This window comes from Homo sapiens, chromosome 1 (assembly GCF_000001405.40).
Source record: "Homo sapiens chromosome 1, GRCh38.p14 Primary Assembly".
Classification (NCBI taxonomy): Eukaryota; Metazoa; Chordata; class Mammalia; order Primates; family Hominidae; genus Homo; species Homo sapiens.
This window is the reverse complement of record NC_000001.11, coordinates 118148687-118161068: the sequence shown is the minus strand read 5'-3', so window position 1 is coordinate 118161068 and position 12382 is coordinate 118148687. Positions and strand designations below refer to the sequence as shown.

At 38.8% G+C, this 12382-nt stretch overlaps 1 protein-coding gene across 7 annotated transcripts in view; it reads left to right on the top strand.

Annotated features, from left to right (window-relative positions):
* Window positions 1-12382, top strand: part of SPAG17 (sperm associated antigen 17) — a 231639-nt gene that overhangs the window by 24160 nt on the left and 195097 nt on the right. For 6 of the 7 annotated variants that reach the window (XR_946574.2, XM_006710427.4, XM_006710426.4 and 3 more), the window contains exons 2-3: window positions 9700-9840; window positions 10440-10526. Coding sequence is in view for 5 of the 7 variants with exons in the window: in XM_006710427.4 (XP_006710490.1) it covers window positions 9700-9840; window positions 10440-10526 (228 nt within the window). In the remaining 2 variants the exon portion in view is untranslated. Of the gene's footprint in view, window positions 1-9699; window positions 9841-10439; window positions 10527-12382 lie in introns of those variants that run through there. The other variant, XM_011540935.3, reaches the window with a different exon arrangement.

The window sequence follows — 12382 nt, the reverse complement described above, 5'->3', positions numbered from 1 at the left end:
TACTAATGTAATAAATGCTTGTTGAGCTGCACGACTACTCATTTTTGTTGAATTGAGGTAGGGCACAGATTCCCTGACACTATTCTTGCTCAAGTTACAGTCTCATAGTTTTTCTGACACACCCCTAGGGAGTTATTGGAGAAATTCCCATCATTCCCTGCTAGCATAATACAAACTCAGCTCCCTAGAAGATCTGGCACTGCTCCCTGGATCCTCTTTCTTTAACTCTTCTTTCTCACCCTATCATTTGAAGACCATATTTGTAGACCTAAAAATCAGAACACATGGTCAGACACATCCTGCTTTCAGATATTAGGGATATTATGAGATATGTAATTGGGCTGCCAAAATATTCCCATTGCTTGGACATTTTATTGAATTTGGGGAAGAATAAGATAGAGTTAGTGTAATCAGGGCAATCTTGTGTTTGTAGAAGTAGCCCTGGATATGCCCCACTCAAGATGGATGTAGAAATTAAATTATATCCATGGCTTTGTAGTAAACAAGGGATAAATGAAGACGCTTGTATTCACTGTAAGAAAATAAGTTGTCCATGAGATTGAATTAACCAAGCAACAGCATGGATGGCTCATGAGAATGAGTATTGGTCGGTTATTTTGTTTCTTCTGGGTAGCCCTAGTGCCAAGGCACAACAAATCCATGAAACATACACAAAGCTTAATGTATAAATGACATTTACAATACAGGAAGGAAGATAGAAAAACAAAGCAAAAGGGCTGCAGTAGAGTAAGTAATGAGCTAACATTAAGTCTTAAAAATATATCTTATTTTTTAATGTGGAAGATAGTGATGCAACATTGAAGGAACTCAATCAAGGTCAAAGAAGGTCTCGTGCTTGAGGAAGGAGTTGATGAAAGGTTGTAGCTTTTAATATATGATGATGAAAAGAGATCTCCTTTTAGGGCGGGTGAGTCTCTGATTCCAGTTTTACATTTCTGGAGCAATTAGCAGGACTCCTCTTGGCTTTTCTTGGTCTCCTCTGTTAGAAGAATGTCTCTGATATGTAATATTTGTTTCAAAACCCAAAGAAGCTCGTTTCCTTTTGAGGTTTGCCTTACTTTTTATGTTCTGAAGTTCATTTTGAACCTCAGATTTTGCTCCAAGCCATAAAACTGGTTGGATTGTACTAACATAATGGAGCCGTAATTTCAGCCCACTGTTGGGGGTGGGGAGATAGTTAAGGTGTGTAGTGGCTCTGTGGTTTCTCTGTGGAGTAGAATTCCCTGCAAAGCTTTTCCATGTGGTGTTTTAATAGCTGTCTTAAAACTCTCTGATGCATGGAGCAAAACCGAATTAAGCTCATGTGCTAGATTGGTGGGATGGGCCAAGAACTCTGTGAAAAACGAAAGAAAAACAATCAAACAGCCTAAGCCAGAGGCTACACGGTACAAAGAAGATCCCCAGGACATATCTAAATTCAAAATTCAAAATTACTGCAGCAGTCACCTCTTTTAACCCATTTTTGCAGAACTTTCTACAGGAAATTAGAATATTTCCCTTGCATATATTAATATTTTACATTTATGTGGTACTCAACAAATTTACAAAAGGACCCTAAGTGTATTCATTCTTGGGTCCTGCAATAGTCTTTTGAAAGTTGTATTAATAGATTCATAATTTTAAATGAGAAACTGAGTCACAAAGATAAGCCCAAGGTCATTTGGCTAAGAAACCACAGAGGCAGAATTTGACACTACCCAAACCTCTCTGCATACCTACACCAGAACTTCAATAATTTTAATTAGTCACATTTAATATTTATGAAGACAAGGAAAACCAGCCAGACAGTGTATACATGCACAGTAAAGCTGTTTCTAGACTACTGTGTTTTCATCAGTGAATATAAGCCATGTACAGTGTTGTCTAAACATCAAAGGAATGCGCTCTTTCTCTAATTCAAATTCTGGGTGATTCAGAGGCATGACTCCTTCCAAAGTGCTGAGTTTGGCTGATAAAATGCCACATACTCAGTCAGCCCTCCCATGCTAAGCATGTGTAAAAGTTCTCTTTAGTGTGTGGTTTTGGCTGCTAAGTTCAAGAAACATTTATTGAATGCTTCTATATGCTAGGCACATGGGTGAAGCAGGAAGTTGTCTAGGGGTCTGTTCTGGTATAATTCTAGGGGAGCCTTTTCCACTGGACCAGTCCACAGCCTTAAATACCGCCATTAGCAGGGCATCACTTTGAGTTAGTCCAGGAGTCACTGGGATTCCTTTTTGGAAATGCAGATATTAGAAGAAATACTTCAAAATGGTCCTAGCACTAAAGCCTCTGGGTGTGTATATATATATCTATAATCAAATCAACTCTTAAGACTCTGAGCTGAATAGCAGGTAATACCTAGGAGAAGGAGTTAGTAGATTCTGCTAAGGTCTGTAATGAGCCCTGTGAAGCCAGAATATAGCGGCAGGCCAGGAAACGTGTCTTATTGCACTAAGGCTCCCTATCAAAAATAAACTTCAATTTATTTCTTTTGTTTTTATTTTAAGAACTAGCGCTGCATGACATCCATGTTTTAGACCTTGATGCCCAAAATTGATCAGATTAATATTTGCAGTTCAACCAGCAAACAACTGATTCATTTTCATATTTTTTAAGCCAAGTAAGCAGATCCACATCTCTAATGAAAAGTAGCCTGAGGCTGCTTTCTTCCCCTAGTCCTCTGTATGGCCACCTCAGAGGTGATCATCTTCATAGTCAGCCAGTGCACAAAATCTAAAACTCAGTGTCTTCTCATTTGACTCTAATTGATAATTGGTTTGTTTCTATGGTTGGTGATAGGTTAATGTCTCTGGCAGACTTGCACAGGGCACAAAATGACTTGAAGATTTCTCCTGCCACACTCACATTCTCTTCCATGGCTCTGAAAAAATTATTATACATTCCTTTAGAATTTTAAACATAATATGTTCATGATTCTGGCCCTCTCTTCCAAGGACCCAAAATACTTTAGAAACACGTCAGTTAACAAGTTTATTATTATCCAAGAGAAAATTATTATACAAACTCTTGTTCAAACTCATATTTGCCTTTTTGTGATGCAACTGTTGATATTCTGATTGATTTTTTTTCCCTGGGTCTCCCATAAGTTCTTCACACATGAAGCAGCTTGCATGGACTAGCCATGTTTGTTCTAATGACCAACAAGAGCAGAAGCCCCCCAAAATAATATCTTTAAGGATGGCTAGGATTATTGCTAGGTGCTGTACTGAGAAGGGCTTTCTATAGGTTTTCTCATTCAATCTTCACAACAATCCCAATAGACAGGTACTGTCATTATCTTCATTTATGCATGAGGCACAGAGAAGTTAAGTAACTTGCCCAGGGACACACAGCTGGTTTACTGAGATTCGAATCTGGGCTCAGTGAATCGAACCCAGGCTCCTAATTACTGTGCCACAGTGACCCATGCTTCTTCAAGGGGCCACCACAGTATGAAGGAATCTAGTCATTTGTTGGCAGGGGGTGCTTAGGGATCTCCCAGATCATTGGCCCCATTGTGCAGATGCCTGAGTGGGGAAGTAGGGAAATGGTCAGGAGGAAAGGAGAGCCCTGGAGTGGTTTGCCCCTGCTCCTGTCAGTGGTCTCTATACTTGCCTTGTCACCTGCTTTTCATAGAGCCCATTTTGAAGGATATTACTTAAGGCTAGGTCACACTTGAAGCAACATCAGCAGACTCTTAATTATAGATCCACATAGCGCATTGCTGCAGAGTGTGTCTTTGGGATGGGGGTGGGGTTTGTATGCAATAGAGGGAATAAATCTGCTTTGCCCTCCTTAATATTTTCTCTGAGACAGCTTTGGTCTTCCCAATGAAAATCATAACTAAGTCAGTCTTAGACATGCAGCTCTTCCTGGGATGGCAGCTGTGATATGCTGGTAAATGTTTAGTAACCTTCTCCAAGTGAACATCTCTGATTTGTAGTGTTTGTCATCTCCTTAGTTTGAGTACTCCTACTGTAGCATATTTCAAATTATTAAGGCAATCACACTGAAGAGAGTTGGGAAGAGCCATGAGCAATCGGCTTCAACACATCGCTAAACAGAGGTCAAAAGATTAGGGTGAATCAAGCAGTAGTTGCTGCAGGAGGCAGATGTCAGGTTATAGCCCTCTCCCAGATTATGGAACATGACAGCACACACTGTGTGCTGCTTCAGTCTGCCTCCCTTCTCTCCCCACTCCACCTTGATATTCTTCCACCATAAATCAAACTCATAAGAATTTCTAAGGCACCCTGAAAAAAAAAAAGAAATCACAGAATTTGCAGCCTATAGGTAGTAGGTTGAGAAAGGAAGAGGGAGCAGGCCATCAAGATGCCTTCTAATAGGAGACGGGAGAAAGTAGGAAGGAGAGAGAGGGGAGGAATGGTTTTATAGGCAATGCAGATTTGGATGTGAGTCTTTGGCTTTTTTCTCCTATCTGGAGGAGCATCCTCCTTCCCCTGACATCTGCTTGCATGTCTAAGTCACTCCTGGGAAATATGTCTAAGCAGAGAAATGGCCTCAAGGCCCAATTCCCAAACCATTGTTACTGACCCCTGGTATGGACCATGTTAGATCAGATATAGTGTATTCTCCTCCTAAAGGACTCCAGGGCCATGGACTGAATACCCTGCAGTTTCCTGACATGCTACATTCTAGCACTTTATGATTTGAGGGTCAAAACCATCTCAGGATCCAAATGTACTCCCTGTTGCTTTGAAATATCAGCCAACAGATATTTATGTATAGAGCCCTGCTCCATTTCCCATTCACTGCCAGGCACCACAAAGTGCAAAAGCATAGAAAACATCATTTCTGACCTAATGAGTTTACAGTCTAGATGAGAAAACATGACAGCCACATATGTGGTCCAATTCCTAAATAAGGATTACTTTAACAGTATTATCTAATTAAGTGAAACTATAGCACTTATAATAAATTGTGTGAGATATATAATTAGAGTCTATCATAATAACTACTTGTTTAGTAAAGACAATAAAAAGATTAGTGCATAGCATGGTCGTTAATAGTATTCTTGTTTATTATATAACAACGTATGCCCATTTTAAACATACATTTTCAACCTATTTTACAGTTAGAGTCACACAAATATGATTGTAGCAGCCAGTTCTATGTAATAAAAATATTTCTTCTGCTGGCCAAAAGCCCATACCAACACTCCTTGCTGATGGAGATCCAAGACTTTTTTTGAAGGAAAAACCTGGTATGAGAAAGACATTCACAAATCCCTGTCCATTTTGCAGTAAATCTGCTTAACAAAAAGGTTATCGTCTCAGCAGAGTATTGACATAAAGTACAGGTTTGCATATCTGTACAGTGTTAAGTAGCTCTTAATAAAACCAGACTTTTTGAATGTTGCATTGATTTTACCTGGGGCATTTGTACGTCTTCTCCTAATAAGGGCGCTGACCACTACTGGTTCATATAGCTTATCAGGCCCTGTTCAGTTCTGGGTATAGGACTGTGAGACTCTCATCTCGAGTCCTTCAGGGACACAGGCGCCCTATCATACTAGCAAAGGCAGCAGAAGAGGGCTTGCAAGTCCTGCCCTTGTCTTTCCCTAAATCAGCAAGTTGCTGGTGCTAATAGAGGGAAGCAATTACAATCCGATTGTCCAAAAGCTACTTTTCACTTTTGAAAAGGCTTTTGCAATTGTTTAAGAATATGAAATGCCTAAGTAAAATTTGGAGAATTTGCAATATATGAAAGAAAAACAGTTGTAAATTTACCCTGTGTCTCTGGGACAGTAGGCTTATATGAGACAGCCAGTTTCTCTGCATTTACATGAATACTTTCCTGCCTTAGGAGACTACTATGTAAGTGTCTGGGTTAAGAAGCCCTCCTGCTAGGCCTCAAATTAGGTGAGACTGGTAAAGTAAATAAAAGGAAATGGATTGTGTCCATACATGACTTCATTCCATCCTTTGAATGGCTTTATCAATCACTAGGAGGGGTGAGACTCAGCAATGATCATGTACAATACATGCCTCCAGGTCATAGACAGCTGACTTGATTTCCTAAGCAGCCGACTTGATTTCCTAAGGTGCTTTCGGTGTGACAGACCCAGACCCTCTTCCTTCACCATTGGATATATCCAGTATAGCTTTTCTGAAATTATTAGTCTTTTCTTTCTCTCAGCTCTTGCTACTAATTACACCCAAACTTCTTAAACTATCTTAAACTTAAACTTCTTAAGATAGTTTAAGAAGTTTGGATGTAATTAGTAGCCTGTGGTGAATTGGGTTGCACACATTATACTTTCATTTGCCCACAATGGTCTACCCTTGTTTTCTCCATACTAAATTTCTTTTTCTGTCCTGTGAACTTAAATTTAAGGACTTCATTTAGCTGCATGTTGGGATAGGATATGGGTGGAGGGGTGTTTTTGATTGTATTTTGCCAAATCTAATCTGTGTCTGATTTTTTTCAAGTTTTTTATTTCTAAAAATGCCGCCAGTTGGTGGAAGTTTGGAATCTCTGGTTACCCTGAAATACTAAGAGAAACACTCAGAAATTGTATTTGCAGAGAATTGCTTATTTAACTATGCTGTCCAATTAGACATGGGGAAATGACTTGTTCTTCATTAGTTGAATATTGCACATTTGCTAGCATCTTACTGCCCCCCTGCTGCAGCTCACAATGAGTGCATCCTTCTCTGTAGGCATTCTCAGTTTGTGTTATTATTGTCTGACTGGTCCCTGTCATGTTTGCTCAGGTTCTGGCCATGTGATTAGACACTAAACCATAACTCTGACAAAGTTATGAGTCCTGTTTTGCCACATAGATGCAATTTTAAAGCACACATTTAGTGGGCAAGAGACCATAGATGGGAAACTGGGACAGAGCTCGACTCTTAAGACCCCTTGAAATGGGGAGACGTGGCCTGGAACCCAGCTCTCCTAGAGAGCTCTAAACAAATCTGAACGTGCTCTCGCCTGGGCAGACTGTCTCAGAGTGACTTCAGGGACCCGTGAGTTTCGGTACTGTGCCATGACTTGGAGGAACAATTTTATGTTAAGATGTCTCCTGGAGCAAAGGAAGGAACAAGAGCTTTGCGCTTGAGAGAAAGAACCTTGGGAAATTTCTTTAACCTCTTTGATCCTTTGTAAAATTATAATTTTTAAAAAAGTAATTATATGATGTTTTAAGGATTTAATATCTAATCTCTTTTTTTTCTTTTTTCTTTTTCTTTTTTCTTTGAGACGGAGTCTCGCTTTGTCACCCAGGCTGGAGTGCAGTGGTGCGATCTCAGCTCACTGCACTGCCTCCTGGGTTCATGCCATTCTCCTGCCTCAGCCTCACAAGTAGCTGGGACTACAGGCACCCTCCACCACACCCGGCTAAATTTTTGTATCTTTTAGTAGAGATGGGGTTTCATCATGTTAGCCAGAATGGTCTCGATCTCCTGACCTTGTGATCTGCCCATGTCAGCCTCCCAAAGTGCTGAGATTACAGGCATGAGCCACCATGCCCAGCCTACCTAATCTATTTTTGAAGGCCTATACACATGTATACATTTGAGATAAATATTTCCCTGATAGTTTTATTATGGCCAAATAGTCTGTTAGGTGCAATTTAAGGATTATGGAAAGACATTCTGAGCCCAAAGACTTATTCCCAAAACTGTTCTGAAATGATCACAAAGTTGTAAGCCATGTCTGTGGTCTCCATGAGGTTCTGCCAAAATGACCTTGAACAAGTCATTTAACTTTTTTGGACCTTTGTTTTTCCATCTATAAGATAATAGTGAACCTATCTTGTAGGGTAACTTAGGGATTCAATGAGATAACATATGCCTGACGCATGGCAGATTCACAATAATTGTTAGTTCCCTCTTGCCCCTCCTCTCTTCTTTTATTTTCTGGTCTGAAATGGTCAACACCTGCCTTGACACCAAATACTAATAAGTAGATGGGTAATGGACTACAATACCCTCTTTCTCAGTTGCCCCCCAAAGAGCAGAAAGACAGCCTTTTCTTGTCACCATTAACTTTCAAATATTGGCAAGGAAACTTGCAGTGGACAGCGGGATAAGGGGGTAAAGGTGGTTATTAAAATCTTCAGTTTTGGAAGGTGTAGTCATCAGGAACTTCAAGGTATTGCCTGTACTGTAACTGTGTGTACTTTATTGTGAAATGAAAGAGATTTTTCCCCTTTAATGATGACTACAGTTGCAGCTTTGACTGAGGAAGCAGACAAGAGAAAAAAGGCATCTAATTCAGGAAAGGTCATTACACATTATACATATCATATCTACTTTTAAAAGTCAGAATGTTTAAAAAATAAATGGTCAGTCTTCCCCTGGTGAATTTAGAGACAAAAGAATGTTTTCAACTCATTATAACAGAGGAAACCACACAAAGTCACACCTACCTGCATGCATGCATGCACACACACACTTTGCAAGTAAAATATACATTTTTATGCTTTTACATGTGTTTTCTGTTTTGGTGGTAGCCTTGAGAATTGGGTGAGTCTTGTTAGGTAGTTAGTAGACTTCCATGGAGCTAAATAAGAAGGATTTAAGGACAATTGCTCTTTGATGGTAAGAAAGAATTAATACTAAAGTATTTTCTCCCACCTATACCCTAGTTTTGTCGTCAACCTGATTATAAAGTGGGCAGAAACCAGAGGAACCAAATAAAATGATGCATTTTATTAAATTTGTGTGACCTTTTCAAATCTTAGACATTGTTTTGGTATTCACCAGGAGACCATTTTACTATATTTGAATCAGACCTCTAGAGAGGAGCTAGAGAGTTGCTTAGATATTGCCCTGTCCAACCCCTTTATTTTATGAATGGGGAAACTAAGCCCCAGAGAGGTCACATGACTAGAGTGCCCTCCCTTATTATTCCCTCTCTTTTCTGATGTCTTTATCGTGTTTGTTTGTTTCATCTCTCCCTAAAATTGTTAGTGTTCAAAAGCAGGAATACTGATTTGCGTGAGTAGCTTTCCCCAGCATCTCACAGTTGGTAATGTGAGGTAATCCAGTGAGCGCCACTCTTAATCTCCCAACAGAAATTACAATTACAATAAACAAAGAGAAAAAAGTACTGCATGTAATTCTTTAGTAACTAATTTTTTAAAATTATTTGATGCAAAATTTCATGTCCAAGTGTAATATTTTTGCCCATTTCTTGGGAGTGTAATTAGCAGTAAGATTCCTGTGTTACATTAAGAGAAAAAGATGTGGTTCAGTTCTCATTTGGCAGCTCATCCAATATGACCCAACATTTAACAGTTTTTTTCAGCTGCTTTTATATTCCTACCACTATTTAGAGTCTTGGGATATACCAGGGAACAAAATAAAGATTCCTGTTTTTTGAGACATCTTAATGTATATTTGTGACATAGGAATGAATGATTGCTTTCCAACACCAGATTATTCTTGGACAACATTCTAGTGAAAGTGTCGTTTTAAAAAATTGTCTTCCTCAAAATAAAAGGACTAGTTTCTCCAGAAAATTGTTTTTTGGTCAAGTTGCATGAAATTTGGCACAATACTGCCGCCTTGCGGCTACTTCAATCAGAAAACCACATACATTACAAGGTCACCTCTGTCTTTCAAGTAAGATTTACAGGAAAATTATTCTGCTTCTCAGTGGAAATATTTGACACGAAATGACCTATTCAGGAATATTTAAAATCTAATTCCGTCTGATTTTTAATAGAACGATTGGCAGGCCTCCATTGCTTTTGTGGTTGGGAACCAGATTGAAGATGATCTTCTCATCCAAGCCCTTACCGTGGCTGTCCAGGTCCCTCAGCGTAAACTCTTCAGTATGGTGTCGTGGCAAGACATTCTCCAGCAGGTACCTGTCCCTTCCTACCTCAAAGCCACCTGAAGACTTTTTTACTTAAAATAATAGAATAGAATTATAAAATAAACTATCATATTCTTGGGCTGTTTTGTAAATTTTGATGGATTATTTTAAGTAACTATTTAGCCAGAATAAATTTGAGTTGTTCAATCTGGAAGAATTTATTTTTGTTTATTAATTTTGTTAATTCAATATTCATTTATTTGACAAAGATTTCTGAGGTCATACCAGGCACCATGCTAGGTTCTGTGACAAAATATTTAATTCAAGTTAAATAATTATAAAAGACTAGACTATTTAAGATTCCAGGGAGGTACATGACTAATTGGAAAATGAAGGCTACAGAGAATCATAGCTGTCAGAGGTCAGAGGACAGCAATAATATAGAAAAGATCTGCCAGGTGGCACATACCCATACAATTACTGACAGCTTACGAAGTAACTATAAATATTTTACCTAATTCATGGGTACCTCTTTCTTGCTAGGTTCCCCAACCCTTCAGATCACCTAGATATTTGAAAGTTACATATATCTAAGTATTCTTCAAATAAGGCTTTTTTCATCATAAGTAAATTTAATTTTCTTACAGATTAATGAAATAAATACACTTGTTGGATCTGCTTCATCTAAAAAGGCAAAAAAACCTGTAGGTGGTAATGCTCCTTTATATTATGAGGTAAGTGAAAGTGTTTATAGAAGATATTTTTGTGTTTTTAGAAAAAAGAATTGAAGTAATAATTTGATAGCCATTTTTAAATTTCATTCTTTGAAAATAAATGCCTGCTCCTCATTGGAGATATTTGTTCCTGATGGTGAACACACACAAAAAAAATCTGCCTCCTTTTAAAATTTTAAAATTTCAAAATTTCCCTTTACAAATACAATTTCCTAGATCGTTTATACCATCATTGCATCTAATTGAAATAATTGAAAAATATAAATCAGAAACTTCTATAGACACAAAGTATTGGGTCATACTTTCTCATGATAATTGCTGAGTATGTGACAGCATTAAGGAGAGTCATATGATCAGTATATTACAAAGTGTTAGTTTCTCGAAAAAAACAATGTAAAAATGCGCCAGAAAGTGTTTCTTGTATAAGACAGAGGTACAGCTGCAGTGATTTTCCATCAGTTTGTGAACTTGGTGCACGGTTTATATCCCACTTTAATCGATATGAAAATAATGATACTCTTCGGATTAATGGTCCGTTCCATTTCCAACAGCTGCTTAGTATAAAATCTGGCTTGGCTGACCCAGTGGGCTTGTGCAAAGGACGTAGGACTCATTCTCCGTATAAGGGGATTTCTTCTCACCCTGCCTTGTTAATATCTAACTTACAGCTTTCAAGAAACTATAAAAATCCAGTGATTAATTAGAATATCACTTAAAATTTGTCAGGCACTGTTTTATGGAGCAGCCGACCTAAAACATAAAGAGTTTTGAATCTTTCTAAGACGAACTTGTTTGCACTTTATTTCAGTGATGACTAATAAAGTTTTTATGTGTCTCAGGTCTTGGGTGATTACATACGGTCTATTTAGTATTGCTTGAGTACTATCTGAACAAGTTTCATTGGATTTATTCACAATAGACAGTGCTGTGAATTTTATAGCATTAACTCTTGCTACGCGGCGCTCACCATCATGCCAAAGTTATCTGTGCTTTTGCAGTCAAATAATATACTTTGTCTCTTTTTTATAATGTTCCGAATGTGTGTGCTCCACTTGAAACATTATGTGATACGTGGATTTAAAATACTGGAATTTTTCTTGTGAGTGGCTATAGAAATCCACATCCAATTCTCAGGCCTGGGATCAATTAACCCCCCAAAAGATTCTTTCTTCTTCACAGATACTCAGTAAAAATCAGAAATGATAGCAGCCTAGTTTTGATGTCTAGTCTGGACAGGCATTCTGACTTGGATGTGGGATAGCACAAGATTACAAACCCAGAGTTAAGTTAGAAAGCCATTCCTCTCCAATATGTGCTGAGACTCTTGGTTGCATATTCTTCACTCAGGGGGTCCATTTCACATCTGGCTCTACCACATTCTTCCAGTGGAGCATTTGGGCAATAAGCCTCCCACACTCGCTCACATACACTCTTCTGAATGGTTCCAGAAGAAAAGAGAAGGTGGGTGGAGTGCCATGGAGACTGAACCTGAGGTGCACCAGACATTCATTAATGCCAGTCGCTGAAGCAAAACTAATAAAGACCATAAAACAAATTCAGGCTCCTTGTCAGCATCAGCCAAGGACAGGTTGCACATCTGGAGAAGAGGGGAATATTTCCCATCTCAGTCCCTTCACATTTAGGACCTGCTCAAGCACTCTGCTACCTAGTACCTCTCATCCCAAGACAATTGAAAAGTCACTGGCAACCCCTGCAGAGCTGCATGGTAGTTGCGAGTGGTGGCCATGGAATAGGCCCAGAAAGTCTCTTGGGACTTCTGGACCTTTGAGACATGTGGACAGTGTGCTCATGAATCTATTTCTGTTTAGAATCTTGCATGGTTGTACCAACTAGTG